Genomic DNA, 16,141 nt, shown 5'->3' with positions numbered 1-16,141 from the left:
CTTCAAGCTCTCTGACTCCTGCCTATGTCATCTTCATTCTCATGTTAGTTCTATCCAGTAAATTCTTTATTTCAGATATTTTGTTTTTCATTTCTAAATGTTCTTTTTTTTATTTTCCTCTTCTGAGGCTTCCTACCTTTTTCTTTGTGATGAGCATATTTTCCTTTACCTCATTAAGTGTATTGTTAGAATAGCTGCTTTAACACCTGGATCATATTGGGATTGGCCTCTGTTGATTGTCTTCTTTCCTTGAGAATGGGTCAGATTTCCCTATTTCTTATATGTAAAGTAAGTCTTTTTTGCTTGAGAATGGGTCAGATTTCCCTACTTCTTATATGTAAAGTAATTTTGAATTGTACTAGCACTTTGTGAATGCTATATTGTGGGTTATATTTCCTTAAAGAGTATTCATATTTGTGTCTTAGCAGGTAACTAACCTGGTTATACTTACATTTCCATATCTGTCTCTCAGGTGGAGGCTTAGTTCTCAGTCCTGTTGGGTTTAAATGCAAACTACTTTGAGCCTTGTCTACTCACCCTTTGTTCAAGGACTGGCCAGAGGCTTGGGCAGAGTTTACATATACATGCCAAGAATTCCCTTCTCTAAGTCTCCTCTTTCTGGGGTTTTTATATTCTGCTGGCCGTGGACTTCCAGGTCTCTAACTTCCACCTCCTCAGGCCAGAAAGAGGTTGGCTCTTCCACTAGATGTTGAGCCACCCGGTGCCATTTTGGGACAGCAGCATGCTGTCAGACCTAGGTGGCAAAAATGTAGAACTCTATGATGAGCCCTTCTTCCATGTTTCAATGTCCCTGTGAAATCTACTGGCTATTTTTACTCTACAGAGCCTTCAGGTATATTTTTTTTTTCCTTCTAGCTTTAATTTTTTACCTGTTTGGGTGTGGGAGGGAATCTGTTAAGAGATTTCCTACCATACCAGAAGCAGAACTCTGGCTATCTTCTGCTGTTTTCTTAAACTTCTACACTGCTGGAACTATTTTTCAGATAAACTAGATCAGATAATTTTTATGGTAAAGTTAGACTGACATGTCATCATCTTCAGCCATCTCATTTTCTTACCCGACATTGGCAGTTTTACATTCTTATATATTCTTGCTACAAGATACAGGAGCTAGAAACAAGAATCATTTTATTGTCAGTCACAGTTCTGTGGGTTGACTGGGCTCTACTAGGTGGTTTTTCTGCTGCATGTAATAACAGCTGAGGCTACAGTTCCCTGAGAGCACAGTTGGGCTGAAATGTATGAGATGGCTCATGACATGGCTAAGTGGATGGAGCTGGCTATTGGCTTGGGGGCGTAGCTCACTGCCTAATGTAACCTTTTTATGTGGCTTGGATTTCACAAAGCATGGTGGTTGAGTTTTGAGTTGACATACCCAAGGGAAATTGTTATATCAGGGAAGAAGTGGAAGCTTCTGTTTTACTGAAAATTAGGCTTTTCTATTGGTCACATAGTCACTGTGCTGGTCAGATTCAAGAGGAGAATAAAGCAATCCACCTGTCAATGGGAAGAATAACAGAAAACAGTGTGGGCATCCTTAATTCACCCCACCTCATACTGTCTGCTCTTATTTGTCACCCATAGCCTTTGTTCATGCCTTGATCATCTCTTTATAGAATTCCTGAAATAGCCTTCTAGCCTCTCCCCTTCCCCCCAGTCTTGCCTCTCAAATGACTATCTACACAACTCTTTGTCTTCTCCAGAAAGGCTTCCTTTATTTCCCAGGGTGAATAAGCCTCTCATCTCTCCATTATTCCATAGCATTCTGTAATACTTTAACATTTACTACATTGTTCTGAAATCATAAAATCTATTTGTCTGTCTCACCAACCAGTCTGCGTTTCTCAGGGGAAGGAACTATATTTGATATATCCAATATTTCTCCTGTTGAGAGTTTACCAGCCTGTAATTTTCTTAAGGTAGGGGACTCTGCCTGCTTTATTTATTTTATCTTCAGTACCTAACTTTGTGTCTAGCTCATCAGAGATCCTTAATACATATTTCTTGAACCAAAATGATTTTTTTTAAATTCACAGTCAGTTAAGGCAGAGCAAGAACTCGATTCCAGATTTATTTCCCCTCTAATTTACTTCTTTCTAGGGCCCTCCAGCAGCCAAGTGAATCTAAACAATCCTCAAGGCCTCTTTTCCTTAGCAGATCTATCGTATCTTTATCTCCATATCTCAAAAGCACTTTCTTTCATATGTTTTAAAATATAAACTGAGCTTAATAAGATGAAAAGGTTTCAGGATTTTCCTGCATTGGTCTCTACTCCAGTCTCTCTAGTGGGCAATGCACCAAAACACTGCTCTATTTCCTAGCTTTAAACTTGAAGAAATAATCTCCAAGCTCCAGGGCTAAGAAAAGGATTGTACATTAAAGACTTGTTGCTTTGGACTATGAACCTTACAGGTCAATTTTTTTCTGGAATAGTGCTAATAAAGAGAAAACAAGTTAAATTATTCACCTGGAGGCCTAGCAGGTTGTATCCTGAAGGCTGAAGTCAAGTGCTTACTCAAACATTGAATTTGAGCTGCTTTTTTCTGTATTAGGGATCCCAATGCTTGGTGCAGAACAAGAACTCGAGATTTCTTTGACGTCAAGGTTGGCTCTACCTAGAGTGTGATTCTTGAACTGTAGTGTGTATAAGATTCACACGGAGAGTGTGTTAAAACACCAACCCCAGGCCCCACTTCAGAGAATTCTAATTCAGTAGGTCTAAGATGGCGTGCGGGAGTAGGCGTGCCTGTGAGTCTCCTGTGAGCTGCTGATGCAGCTAAGGCTTTAAGGCAGAGTTGTTCAGCAGTGGAATTCTTGACATTTTGGGCTAGATAATTATTTGTGAATAGGGAGCTTTCCTGTGCATTGTAGGATGTTTAGCAGCAACCCTGGTCTTTACCCACTGGGTGCCAGTCATACCCTGCCTCCTAGCTGTGACAGCTAAATGCATCTCCAGGCATAGCGAAATATCCCCTGGTGGAGCACAGTCATTGCATGTTGAGAACCACTGGTCTAGGGTATCTGGATGGCTGTGGATTGAGGTATCACTGAGTAAGTTTGGGTGGTGGATGACAAGGTCAGTTTTAGAGTCTGCTGAGCTTAACTGGCTTATGGGGCACCATGAACATCCAGTTCTTTAAATATCAAAGCCCAGTGGAATGATCTGGATTTGGAAGGCATTGGCATATATTTAAAACCATGAAGGATGGATAAAATGTCCAAGTAAATGATGTACCCAGTGAGGAACAATGGATGCAACACAGAGCCTTGGGGAACACTAACTCATTAAGTGGCGAGTGAAGAAAGTGTGCATCTAAGAAGGAATGATAGGGGGATATAAGAGAAGGACAAGGAGAAAAAGATGTTTCAGGCAGCAATGGAGGAGAGTGTGTCAAGGAGAAAAGGGAGGTGATGTCAGTAGAGGAAAGATTCGGTAACACCAAGTTCAAAAAAGGACCATGGGACGAGGAGATCACCTTGACCACAGAAACCTGTTTTGTGCAACAGGATGGCCATTGACTCCCTGTGTCTACTGAGCATTTGAAGTGTGGCTAGTGTGACCTGAAATGTGCTATATGTGTTAAATTCACTCTGAATTTCAGACTTGCTGTGAAAAAAAAGAATGTGAAATATCTCATTAATAATAATTTTTATATTGATTGCACATTAAAATGATAATATAGTGAGTTGAATAAGATACATTATTAATATTAATTTCAACTTTTTCTTTTTACTTTAATATATGTGGTTTGAGGGCAGGGCGCAGTGGCTCACACCTGTAATTACCAGCACTTTGGAAGGCTGAGGCGGGCGGATCACCTGAGGTTGGGAGTTTGAGACCAGCCTGACCAACATGGAGAAACCCCATCTCTACTAAAATTACAAAATTAGCTGGGTGTGGTGGTGCCCACCTATAATCCCAGCTACTTGGGAGACTGAAGCAGGAGACTCTCTTGAACCCGGGAGTCAGGGGTTGCAGTGAGCCGAGATCACGCCACCGCACTCCCGCCTGGGTAACAAGAGCAAAACTCTGTCAAAAAAATAAATACGACCAGGTATGGTGGCTCATGCCTGTAATTCCAGCACTTTGGGAGGCCGAGGTGGGTGGATCACCTGAGGTCAGGAGTTCGAGACCATCCTGGCCAACATGGTGAAACCCCAAATCTACTAAAAATACAAAATTAGCCAGGTGTGGTGGCGCATGCCTGTAATTCCAGCTACTTGGGAGGCTGAGGCAGGAGAATTGCTTGAACCCGGGAGGCGGAAGTTGCAGTGAGCCAAGATCGTACCATTGCACTCCAGCCTGGGTAATAAGAGCGAAACTCCATCTCTAAATACATACATACGTACATGTATACATACATACATACATACATACATACATACATACATACATACAAGTCAATAGAGGCAAAGAAATGATAGATGCAGGGGAGAGAAGAAGGAAGGAAGCAATACAAAGCCTAGAGAGATTGTCATTGAATGGATAGGGGGAGTGTCGGGGAGATTAACTTGTATCTATTTTCAACCTCTTTCAGCCTCCTCCTTTTTTCCTGCAAAATGGGAGTAAGAATCACGTTGCAATAATAACGCCTACCCACTGGGTTGTCTGGAGGTTTACGTGAGATAATAGATGGGGACTACCTTTGGAAATAATGAAACACTGTATGAATTCCAACCGCAGTCATAAGTGTCTTTCTTTCTGACATTTCACTGTCTTTGCCTCCTAATGCATTAATAATTCATACTGTTTTAAAATTTTTTTAATTTCTATTTCAATAGTTTTTGGGGTACAGGTGCTTTTGGTTACAGGGATAAGTTGTTTAGTGGTCATTTCTGAGATTTTGGTGCACCCATCACCTAAGACTACTAACTATTGTAGTCTTTTATCCCTCACCCCCTCCCAAACTTTCCCTACCCCTAAGTCCCCAAAGTCCATTATGTAATTTTTTTTTTGAGATGGAGTCTCGCTCTGTCGCCCAGGATGCAGTGCAATGGTGCGATCTTGGCTCACTGAAACCTCCACCTTCCAGGTTCAAGCGATTCTACTGCCTCAGCCTCCCCAAGTAGCTGAGACTACAGGCGCACGCCAGCACGCCCGGCTAATTTTTGTATTTTTAGTAGACACGGGTTTCGCCACGTTAGCCAGGCTGGTCTCAAACTCCTGACCTCAAGTGATCCACCCGCCTTGGCCTCCCAAAGTGCGGGGATTACAGGCGTGAGTCACTGTGCCCGGCCCATTGTATCATTCTTATACCTTTGCATCGTCATAGCTTAGCTCCCACTTATAAGTGAGAACATAACGATATTTGGTTTTCCATTCCCGAGTTACTTCGCTTCGAATAATGGCTTCCAGCTTCATCTAAGTTGCTGCAAGACATCATTTTGTTCCTTTTTATGACTGAATAGTATTCCGTGGTGTATATCTACCACATTTTCTTGATCCACTCATTGGCTGATGGGCACTTAGGTTTGTTCCATATCTTTGCAATTGTAAGCATAATTCATATTCTTTATTACCACAGAGTCGCAGGAAGAATTCACCCCAAATTTCAAAATGTGGGACCTGCTGAACACAGAATCTACCACTGAAGTGTCGAACATGAGTCACTTAATAGTGCTGAACTAATAGTGAGAATTTCATCGTGAGAACTTAACAGTGACTCATGTTTCACTACTGCTGAAGGCTGAAGTGTGGAAAATGAGTCACTATTAAACAAGGAAGGGCACTGGGTAACCTTTGTGCTGTGGTTCTCAAAGTGTGGTTTCTGGACCAGCATCATCACTATCACTTGAGATAGGGCCAAAATATGCACATTCTCAGGCCCATATGCATCCTACTGAATCAGAAAGTGAGGGGCAGGGATTGTCAGTCTGTGTTTTAACAAGCCTTTTGGGTGATTCTGATCGAGGCTTATACACTGTTGGTGGGAGTGTAGATTAGTGCAGCTGTTGTGGAAGACAATGTGGCAATTTCTCGAAGACCTAAAGACAGAAATATTCAACCCAGCAATCCCGTTTCCAGGTATATACCGAAAGGAATATAGATCGTTCTATTATAAGGACACGGGCATGTGTATGTTCTTGCAGGACTGTTCACAATAGCAAACATATGGAATCAACCTAAATATTTGCCCATCAGTGATAGAGTGGATCAAGAAAATGTGGTACACATACTCCACAGAATACTATGCAGCCATAAGAAAAGGATGAGATCATGTCCTGTGCAGGGACATGGATGGAGCTGGAGGCCATTATCCTTAGGAAACTAACACAGGAACAGATAACCAAATATCATATATTATTACTTAAAAGTGGGAGCTAAATGATGAGAACACATGGACACATAGAGTGGAAAAACACACAATGGGGCCTTGCAGAGGGTGGAGGGTGGGAGGAGGAAGAGAGTCGGGAAAGTAACTAATAGGCACTAGGCTTAATACCTGGGTGATGAAATAACCTGTACAACAAACCCCCATGGCACAAGTTTACCTGTGTAACAAATCTGCATGTGTATCCTTGAACTTAAAAGTAAAAGAAAAGTTGAGAACCCTGCCCTCGTGCTTGTCAAATCAGATCAATTCTCTATAAGTGCAAGGATTCTCGAACCTTGGGAAACTAGTTAAAATTCAGATTCTGGGCTTAAGGTGCTGCATATTTAAAAGATCCCAAGATTATTTTGATAAGCTACCAGAAAGTATTGTAAAGCAGCAATTGGCAAGTGTTTTATTTAAAAGCCCAGATAGTCAATATTTTAGGCTTGGCAAACCAAGAGGCCACACATTCTGCTGCTATAGCACAAAGGCAGCCACAGACAATACAGGAAAGGGCTTGGCTGTGTTTTGGGGCTATATAAAAGAGGCTGTGGGGAGGATTTGGTCCACAAGCCATGGATTGTCAACCCCTGCTTTAGAATGTAAATATCACCCTTGATTGTGATCCTGGGTGATTTCCTCTCCATTCATTTATTCCTTAATTCCACACATTTTATTTTATTGGGTCTCAGCTGTGTGCTAGACATGGACTGGACATCAGAGATGGACTGTTGGCTTCCTGGCAGGATCCTTGCTCTCATGGAGCCTGCCATCTCTTCAAGTGTCGAGGAAATTATTAAGTGGAATCAAAATCGGTTGTGATTTCTGCTTAAAATAGGGGAGGTAGAGTTTGTTCACTATCCCAAAAGTCTCTTATTCTATAGCTCAGCCCAACATGCTTTGTGTTCTATTTCCTGGCTTCCTCACTGCCCAACTTTTAATGATATTGAGGCAGCTTTGGGGGGCATTTTTGTTCCATCTCCCCAGTTGCCTGGAATTTTTTGCAAATGGTTAACAAAGTTCCGTTTACCACCAGGCTGTAGCCATTTGTGAGTCAGACTAGACCAGCTGGTTGATACGGCACAGAGGGTTAGGAGAGGAATCTGTTCTAGCTGTTGGTATGGAGATGCTGAAACACCCTGCAGTCTTTGTTCTGCCAGCGTGTGAGTATGCAACTGATAGTATTTAGTGAAGAAGTCTTACTTTATTAGAACCTTTTGCCTAAATGGAAACTCTAGGTTTGTACATCATTTGGAGTAGTTCCCTGAGACCTGAGTATTCCCAGGATTTACACCTAACTTGGTTTATATTTGCATGCTTATTGGTCCAGAGGATTTGGCATTTCCTTCTCATACTCTTGAATCACATTTAATAATAGTAATATAGTTCCTGACAATTATTAAGCACACACTATAAGCCAGACGTTGTGCTAAATAATTTCACGTGTGATAGGAAGAATAATGGCTTCCCTAAGATGTCCATGCTGTGAATATGTTGCTTATAGTGTAAAGGGGACTTTGCAGTTGTGAGATTCAGGGTTTAGTACCTTGAGATTCGGATGATCCTGGATTAGCAAGGTGGGACCAACTTAATCCTGTGAATCCTCAAAAGTGAAGAGCTTTTCCAGGATGTGGACAGAGAAAGATGTGAAGATGGAAGAGTCAGAGAGATGCAGTGGTGCTGGCTTGAAGATGAAGGAAGGAGTCATAAGCCGAGGAATGTGGGCAGCCTCTGAAAGGTGGAAAAGTCAAGGAAGTGGATTCTCCCCTACGGCCTCCGGAAAGGAAAGCAATCCTGCTGACACCTTGATTTTAGTCCAGCGAGACCCATTTCACATTTCAGAACCACAGAAGTATAAGACAATAAGTGAGGATTATTTAAGCCCCCGCCAAGTTGATGGTAATTTGTCATAGCAGCAATAGAAAATGAACGCACCATGGCTGATCCCATTAAATTGTCACAAGAACCTCAATTAAGCACTAACAGTGGTCACATTTTCAGGAAGAAGAATTCAAGGCTGAGTAATTGTGCAAGGTCCCATATTTATCAAGTGGTAGATGCAGGATTGGGTCACTGGTTCCAGGGCCACACTTGTACTGTAAATTCATGTAAGCTCCATGGTATGAAACTCCATTTGGATATTTGACGATTCCCTTCAAGTCCATGCGGCAGTGCCTTTGCACACATGCCTTCAAGGATGCTGTTGCCTCCTCCAAAGAGTCACCTGCAATCTCTGCTGCTTCATCCTCAGGCTGTGTTGTGTTTTCTTGGGAGCCCTCTCCAAATTTGCAATCAACCCACGTGGCCCCTTCCTGCTGTGCATCAAGACACCACATGCCCTATCACAGCACTTACTGCATGGTGCGGTGTGACTTTGTGTCTGTCTGTCCACTAGACTGTGAGTTCTTTCATTCCTGCACCACAAGCACTTCCTCTCCTCCACCAGGACATGGCACTATGTCTGGCACATAGCTCTAAAATGCAAGCCCCATGAGGCAGGGAGTTTGTCCATCATTGCTATACTCCAGTGCCTAGAATAGTACCTGGCACAGAGTAGCTATATAGTAAATATCTGTTGAATGGATGAATTATTGAATAGCAGATTCTCAATAAATATACAGAGGCTGAAGGTTAATAAACCTGTAGTAATTATCTAAAAGCCTTTTGTTTATGTTTCAGTGGTACTTTATGGAGGCATAGCTTACATATAGTATAATGCATGAATCTTAAGTGTAAAGCTCAATGAATTTTTACACATATATACAATTGTGACCACACAGATCGAGATGCAGAACATTTTTTAAAAAATTGTTTAACACCACATGTTTTCACTCATAAGTGGAAGTTGAACAATGAGAATACATGAACATAGGGAGAGGAACATCACACACTGGGGCCTGTCAGGGGTGGGGGGCAAGAGGAGGGAGAGCATTAGGACAAATACCTAATGCATGCGGGGCTTAAAATATAGATGACAGATTGATAGGGGCAGCCAACCACCATGGCACGTGTATACCTATGTAACAAACCTGCACATGCTACACATGTATCCTGGAACTTAGAGTAAAATTTTTTTTTATTATACTTTAAGTTTTAGGGTACATGTGCACAATGTGCAGGTTTGTTACATATGTATACATGTGCCATGTTGGTGTGCTGCACCCATTAACTCGTCATTTAGCATTAGGTATATCTCCTAATGCTATCCCTCCCCGCCCCCCACCCCACAACAGTCCCCGATGTGTGATGTTCCCTTTCCTGTGTCCGTGTGTTCTCATTGTTCAGTTCCCACCTATGAGTGAGAACATGTGGTGTTTGGTTTTTTGTCCTTGCGATAGTTTGCTGAGAGTGATGGTTTCCAGCTTCATCCATGCCCCTACAAAGGACATGAACTCATCCTATTTTATGGCTGCATAGTATTCCATGGTGTATATGTGCCACATTTTCTTAAACCAGTCTATCATTGTTGGACATTTGGGTTGGTTTCAAGTCTTTGCTATTGTGAATAGTGCCGCAGTAAACATACGTGTGTATGTGTCTTTATGGCAGCATGATTTATAATCCTTTGGGTATATACTCAGTAATGGGATGGCTGGGTCAAATGGTATTTCTAGTTCTAGATCCCTGAGCAATCTACCGATTTCCACACCGACTTCCACAATGGTTGAACTAGTTTACAGTCCCACCAACAGTGTAAAAATGTTCCTATTTCTCCACATCCTCTCCAGCACCTGTTGTTTCCTGACTTTTTAATGATCGCCATTCTAACTGGTGTGAGATGGTATCTCATTGTGGTTTTGATTTGCATTTCTCTGATGGCCAGTGATGATGAGCATTTTTTCATGTGTTTTTTGGCTGCATAAATGTCTTGTTTTGAGAAGTGTCTGTTCATATCCTTTGCCCACTTTTTGATGGGGTTGTTTGTTTTTTTCTTGTAAATTTGTTTGAGTTCATTGTAGATTCTGGATATTAGCCCTTTGTCAGATGAGTAGGTTGCGAAAATTTTCTCCCATTCTGTAGGTTGCCTGTTCACTCTGATGGTGGTTTCTTTTGCTGTGCAGAAGCTCTTTAGTTTAATTAGATCCCATTTGTGAATTTTGGCTTTTGTTGCCATTGCTTTTGGTGTTTTAGATATGAAGTCCTTGACCATGCCTATGTCCTGAATGGTATTGCCTAGGTTTTCTTCTAGGGTTTTTATCGTTTTAGGTCTAACATATAAGTCTTTAATCCATCTTGGATTAATTTTTGTATAAGGTGTAAGGAAGGGATCCAGTTTCAGCTTTCTACATATGGCTAGGCAGTTTTCCCAGCACCATTTATTAAATAGGGAATCCTTTCCCCATTGCTTCTTTTTGTCAGGTTTGTCAAAGACCAGATAGTTGTAGATATGTGGTATTATTTCTGAGGGCTCTGTTCTGTTCTGTTTTGGTACCAGTACCATGCTGTTTTGGTTACTGTAGCCTTGTAGCATAGTTTGAAGTCAGGTAGCGTGATGCCTCCAGCTTTGTTCTTTTGGCTGAGGATTAACTTGGCATTGTGGGCTCTTTTTTGGTTCCATATGAACTTTAAAGTAGTTTTTTCCAATTCTGTGAAGAAAGTCATTGGTAGCTTGATGGGGATGGCATTGAATCTATAAATTACCTTGGGCAGTATGGCCGTTTTCACGAAAAATCTCAAAAATTTTGTTTAAATTTAAGAGGTGCAAGTGCAGTTTTATTACATAGATACATTGCAAAGATATAGAACATTTCTAGTTCCCTATGAAGTTCTTATTTGCTCCCTTCTCACCAACCCCAAGATAACCATTATTCTGAATTCAATCATCATAGATTAGTTTTGCTTGTTCTTGAACTTTTATAAAATTTCCATTCTGTTCTGTTATAAATGGGCTTGTATAGCATGCCTTTGTTTTGTGGCTGGCTTCTTTTGCTTCAGCATGATGCTTTTGTGGTTCATTCGTTAGGATAAGTGTAGAAACCTCTTTACTCCTGCACTCTCCTAGTGATCCCCCACCCCTGCACCCCCATATCATTAGATGAGTTCCCTGTCTGGAGCATGTGACCTTCTATTGGGTTGTAGCTGCGTATTTCCATCAGAGTGGTAACCAGAGATTCAGACTTGGAATGTCTTCCTCCGGGACCACAGCTTCAGTGAGATAGTAGTTCTTGGTACATGGTTGAGGCTTAATAAAGAGCCATTAAGTAAACGAGTACGTGAATAAGTACTGTACTTTTCTAATAGTCTTTTGGGTGCTAAAGTCATACATATATTGAATGCTTGCTATATACCAAGTACTATAGTGCTGAGTATTTTACATCCATTAAATTGCACGTAAATGACAACAACAATAACAAACTCGCTTGAATGGTAAATGTTATTAGCTCAAGTGTATAACTCAGGAAATTGAGACTAAGAAAATTACAGCTGGGTGCGGTGGCTCATGCCTGTAATCCCAGCACTTTGGGAGACTGAGGCAGGAGGATCACTTTAGTCCAGGAGTTTGAGACTAGCCTGGACGACATTGGCAAAACCTCATCTCTGCCAAAAATACAAAAATTATCCAGGTGTGGTGGAACACACCTGTAGTCCCTGCTACTTGGGAGGTTGAGGTGGGAGGATGGTTTGAGCCCAGGAGGCAGAGGTTGCAGGGAGCTGAGATCATGCCATTGCACTCCAGCCTGGGTAACAGAGCCAGACCTTGTCTGAAATAAATACATAAATAAAAATAAAGTGTATAAAAAAGAAAAATTACACGTTAGGAACAAGTGATACAATTAATAAAAGATAGTCTGGTTGACTTCACAGCATATGCTCTCCCTACCTACCTAGGCTGCCTCGTTTTCCAGTTAATTTTTCATTTATAAAAGAAACAGGCTAATTATGGAAAATTTGAAAAATACAGAAAAGCAGAAGCAAGAAAATGTAAAGGCATCCATATGCTACAACCCAAGAACAGTCGCTCTTAGTATTTTGGGGTGTATTATCTTTTTGCATTATTTTCTGTGTATAGTTTTTTATCTGTTTATTTAATAAGGTTATGATAAAAGTATACATGCAAAATTATATCCAACTTTTTCATGTAATCTCTACTTAGGTTGTTATAAACTCTGTGTCTGCAATCTAGTTCATTCAGTATTTATTCAACTGATATTTATGAATTACCTACTATGGGACATTGTTGATTGAGCCCCTCCTATATGCAAAGCTCATTTTTTTCCTTTTTTACTACTAGGTTCTACTATCTGTTACCTGGGCCAGATAGTTGGGTGTCAACCTGGAAGCCACATCATCTCTGCCTTTAATATTGCTCAATTATGTGGTTTCAGTGAGTTTCTAGGTTTGCTGGTATGTGCTATGGTTTTTGTTTGTTTTTTTGAGATGAAATCTCGCTCTGTCACCGAGGCTGGAGTGCAGTGGCCCGATTTTGGCTCAATGCAACCTCTGCCTCCCGGGTTCAAGCGATTCTGTTGCTTCATCCTCTGAGTAGCTGGGATCACAGGCATGCGCCACCACGCCCAGGTAGTTTTTGTATTTTTAGTAGAGATGGGGTTTCACCATGTTGGCCAGGCTGGTCTCGAACTCCTGACCTCAGGTGATATACCCACCTCAGCCTCCCAAAGTGTTAGGATTACAGGCGTGAGCCGCCATGCCTGGCCAATGTTTTTAATTAGTACACGAATAAAACCACAAGAAAACCATTGGCAAGCCCTCTAGTTCTTTGGGCTCCTTGCTTTAGCACAGTGGAAAGCCTGTGTACTAAGTCAGAACGGCGACTCCTGGAATAAATCATCCCAGGTGAAGAGTTGATACGTTGCACATCGGTAGCTTGGGTGGCATATTTAAATACTAACCAGGCTCACTCTGCAAATAGATTGAAGTGATTCCAAAACCTCGGTGCCATAACTTGATTTTCAGAATCAGGTGGAACCTACAAGCCTATTATGAGCTCCTATGGGGAGACATGCAGGGCATGAGGAATAGAAATAGGAGGAGGAGACAGAACATCATAATTTCGCTCTAGGTTTAGGGATGGAAGCTGGTTGGTGGGTCAGGGGTGGGAAAATGAGTGAGGCTTTTTATCTCTTAGGAGATTGGAGATGTTTTCAAGAGGGCTGTGAATCATTTGAGGCTGATTTCAGGGCACTGTGACAGATGAGTGCAAATCCAGCCTATTTCTCTGGTCCAAATGAATACTTGTCCTTGTAACACTGAAAACCAAATATTTGAATAGGAATGAGTATTCTGGGGTATTCTGGGGTAGCATGGCTCAGAGGCTCCTAGCAGTTGTTCAGTGACTTAAAAGGGAGATGGTTGTAAAAATTTGGGGCATAAGCTGAACATTTGTCTGATTCAACATAAATTAGCACCAATTCTGCTCATTTTGTGCCTTTTCCCTACCAACTCCTCTGTATTTATTCATTAATTCATTTATCTAACAAATATTCACTGGCACCTTCTGTACAGCCAGCACAAGGGATGTATCAGTGAACAAGCCCATGCTTGTATCGATTTTCTAGTCTGTTAAGGCAGTTTATGCTTTAGTGTTTATTTAGCACATACTATATGTGGCTTGGAGACAGGTGGAGGTAAGGTATGAAGCTATTCAGGTTCTAATTTCTGCCCTCTGCTTGCAATCTGGTATGCAAACGAATATATGCAACTGAAACCTAATACACAGCAAGCATTCTTTCCCCAGCTCTCTGTAATTCCTGATAGTTCACTTTGGCAAAGTGCTTCCATCCCATGGGGTCTGTCCTAGTACCAATTTGCAGACTATTTGCTTCAGAATCTACTTAAAAATACGGATTTCTGGGTCACACCTCAGACATACTGTGCCAGATAAAATCCGTGGGAACAGAGCCCCAGGAGACCATTGCTAAAGATATGGAAGTGGGGTTGAACCTGTGTGTGTGTGTGCATGTGTCTGTGTGGTCATTGATGGGCATGAGGAGTAGTAAATTTGGCAATTCACGGTCTGGTTTGCCAAGAAAGATGATCTCAGAAGACCAACATTGCCCACATCAGCAAGAGGGAGCCATGGCTTTGTGGCAAGTCAGCATTCAAGGAGGATGGATTTAGTAGTAAGTTCAGGTCAGGCTGGATGTTATTAATGGCAATTATGATAACAACTAAATGTATTGGAAGTTAATTGCATGCCAGATGCTTTTACATCAATTGCCAATTTTAATCCTCACAGTCGCTTATGCAGAAGTTATAGTTATCTTCATTTATGGAGGAAGAAGGCAGGCACAGAGAAGCTAAGCAACTTCCTCATAGTCACCCAGCTTGGAGATAGCAGAGCTGTGATTCTAAAGCAGTTTATCACTATCTCTCTTTCCTGGTATAACTGAGAGGAAAGACTAGAGAAGCATGCACAATCAACATGGAAAACAAGCCAACCGTGTTCTTTGGGGAAGCCCTTCATATCAGTGGCCAAGTGTTGCTCATGGGGGCAACCAATGTGAAAACCCTGCTGAAAACCAACAGGCAGAGGCCCAGGTGATGTTCACCTGCCCAAGTCTATAGAAGAGTTCTCAGGTGAGGTTCAAAGAGGTCCAGGAAATGCGAGAAACCAAGCCCTTCAGAGTCATCGAGGGGCATCTTTCGGTTGTTAAATTTCCCAATTAAGGAAGAGTTGAGATAGCCCCATTTTGACGTGCTTTGCTGTGGTTGGTAATTCTGGCCCTATTGCTAATTATGATGCGATGACATCATTTGGGTAATCTCCCTTCCTATTAGAAGCTGCCTCTTAGGTTTTATATTTGCTTTATTTCCACTACTCTGGCCACCCAGTGCATGCAGAGAACAACTGTGGATTGTGATATTGTTACTGGTAATGTCTTTCAAAGTGAATTGGGGTTTCACATGGGAAGGCATGAAAAAAGTTTATTAAAGGTACCACAGTATCAGGACCCAAATACTGAAGAGTGCTCGCAGAAGTGAAAGAGCTTGTTCTTCCTTGGGTGGTCCATGAGATAGGGAGTGGCTGTGTCCCACAGTGAGAGCAGCCCTGTGTTTGGAGCTCAATCCTATATCCACTGTGTGTGTCCTGAACATGGGCAGCTCCCTTAAATAATCTTCCCTGAGTAAAATTAGGGGCTGGCACCAGATGAGTGCCAGGCTGGTCCCCCTGGCTGAGAACAAGCCCTAGGGAGATAGCACACAGGGCCAGAGTGAAAGCCAAGGGCATTCCCAGGGTGGAGGAAGTTAGGAGCATTTTGTGATCACAGAGAGGCAGAGGTATGCTAATAAGGGAATTAACACCTTTTCTCTGATTAGCAGCCAGGGAATTATTGAAAGGGATTAGATAGAAACTGTGAAAAGATTCTTGGGCAACTGAGAGGTCAGAGGAAGGTAATAGCCTCTTCTTTAGGTACAAAGGAATACAAATACATTTTATTAGCAGAGAACCAGTCTCTTTCACCCTCACCCCAATGGCTATCTTAAAGACCCTCACACTTGCCTCCTATCTGGGTACCTTTGCATATGAAGCACCTTCTTTGCAAGAGGCATTCTGTCCTCTCCTCTTTGCCTAGATAACCCCTACTCCAGCATCTCCTGTTTGGAGAAGTCTTCAACCATCTAAATTGTTCTGTTTCCCCCATTGTGCATTCTTAATGCACCATAAGCTTTTCTTACAAAATGTGAATTTCAATGGCAATTTTACACGTGTGTAGTTGTTTAATTAATATTTGTCTTTTCCATCTGGATCATAAGCTCTTTGAGCGCAGGTTTCATGGCTGTTTTTGTTCACTACTGGATTCTCAGCCTTCAGCACTGTACCTGGTCCAGAGATGAATAAATAA

At 41.8% G+C, this 16,141-nt stretch overlaps 1 protein-coding gene across 7 annotated transcripts in view, besides 1 other annotated feature; it reads left to right on the top strand.

Annotated features, from left to right (window-relative positions):
• The window catches only part of GRIN2A (glutamate ionotropic receptor NMDA type subunit 2A), a 429,505-nt gene that overhangs the window by 210,226 nt on the left and 203,138 nt on the right, over window positions 1–16,141 (top strand). The gene's annotated exons all lie outside the window — the stretch shown is intronic.
• Window positions 15,385–15,924: an enhancer, noted in NCBI's record as "NANOG hESC enhancer chr16:10050616-10051155 (GRCh37/hg19 assembly coordinates)". NCBI's record gives its function as "activates a minimal SCP1, AML or CMV promoter by ChIP-STARR-seq in naive H9 embryonic stem cells {active_cell/tissue: H9 hESC(naive)}" and the evidence as "EXISTENCE:reporter gene assay evidence [ECO:0000049][PMID:30033119]".

The sequence above is a fragment of the Homo sapiens genome, chromosome 16 (genome assembly GCF_000001405.40).
Source record: "Homo sapiens chromosome 16, GRCh38.p14 Primary Assembly".
Lineage (NCBI taxonomy): Eukaryota > Metazoa > Chordata > Mammalia > Primates > Hominidae > Homo > Homo sapiens.
This window is presented reverse-complemented; position numbering and strand designations above follow the sequence as displayed.